This window comes from Homo sapiens, chromosome 5 (genome assembly GCF_000001405.40).
Source record: "Homo sapiens chromosome 5, GRCh38.p14 Primary Assembly".
Classification (NCBI taxonomy): domain Eukaryota; kingdom Metazoa; phylum Chordata; class Mammalia; order Primates; family Hominidae; genus Homo; species Homo sapiens.
In genome coordinates this window covers 919,868-921,594 of record NC_000005.10, presented here as the reverse complement: position 1 = coordinate 921,594, position 1,727 = coordinate 919,868, and positions in this window count along the sequence as shown.

The window sequence follows — 1,727 nt, the reverse complement described above, 5'->3', positions numbered from 1 at the left end:
TGATATATAAACTGAAGGAAAGAAAAATCAGTCAGTAGAAATAATCCAGAAATGATAAAGATGATGAGATTAAAATACAAGAACATTACAGAGTTTAGAGAAATGCTTGTTTTATGCTCAAGGATATAAAGGAAAACATGAATCTAAGTAAAAAGGGAGATATAACAAAAAACCAAACAAGTTCTAGAAATGAAAAGTAAACTCCACAAAATGAAAATCTCACTGACTTACAAGGCAGCAGATTAGACATTGTAGGGAGAAAAAAGATTGTGAACTTGAAGACAGGAATAGAAAGTATTCACACTGGAAGCAAAGAGAAAAAAGACTAAAAATAAATGAACAACATTTCAATGACCTGTGTGACAATATCAACTGGTAGTTGTTAGCCACATGTGAGCATTTCAAATGTGGCTAGCATAACAGAGAAATTGAACTTAAATTTAATTTTAATTAATGTATGCAGCTACCTGTGGCTAGTGGCTACCACATCAGACAGCATAGTCTTAGAGCAACCATGAAATAATACAAGATGTATAGGAAGTAAATCCATAGTAGAGATAAAATGGAATACTTTAAAATATTCAATTAATACAGAAGGCAGGAAAAGAGGAAAAAGGTAACAAAGAACAATGAATAGCAAAACTGGTGAAAAAATAAAAGGCAGTCTGTCAGACTGGATAAAAATATGAGACCCAACTATATGCTGTCTACCACAAACTCACTTAAAATATAAAAGCCCAGATAGGTTAAAAGTCAAAGGATGGAAAATGAGATACCATGTAAATGCTAATCAAAAGTCAGCATGGCTAACCTAGTATCGAAGTAGACATCAGAACAAGGGATAAAAGAGGAAATCCCTTGATAAAGCACCAATTTACAATGAAGACAATAGTCCCACACGTTTATGCCCCAGCAGCTCCAGAATACAGTGTCGGGGCACACAGGGCTGAAAGAAGAGACAGTCAAGTCCACACTAACAGTGGAGGTTCCAACTATCGGAACCTCCCAGCTGGGAGGTTCCCAGCTATTGACAGAGTAGGGGAAAGAAAATCAGTGACAGGTCATGAGACCTGACTGGCACGTAGAAACCACTGTGCCTGACTGCAGGAGGTGCATTCTTTCCAGAGCACGCCACGTGCTGAGCCACCAAATAAGTCTCAATTCATTTAAAAGATTTAGAATAATACAACATATGTTATCTGACCACAACCAATTTAAAGAAAATCAGTAAGAGACAGCTATCTGGAAAATCCCCAAATATTTGGAAACGAAACAGTTCTCTTCTAAATAACCCATGGGTCCAAGAAGAAACTACATGGGAAATTAGAAAATATTTTGAACAGGATGAATGAAAAGTCACACATTTCCATCCATCTGTGGGAAGCAGCTATGCAATGTGCAAAGAGAGAATGTTTTCAATGCTGAGAAACAAAGCTCTCAACCAAGGGGCTCAGCTTCCACTTTAAGAAGCTGGGAAAAGGACAAATCTAACATACGTAGAAGGAAGAAAAGAAAATTAAGTGCCAAATTAATAAAATAGAAAACAAATAATAGATAAAATCTGTGAAACCTAAAGCTGGTACTTGAATGAAAGTGGCACATCACTCCAGAGCTTACAGACAGAAGAGGCCAAGACATCCACTAAGGCATTTTTATTCAACCTCATACTTGCCATGGCCTATGCAGCAAGGCAAGAAAATGGGGGGGGGGGGGAGGAAGCGCACAGA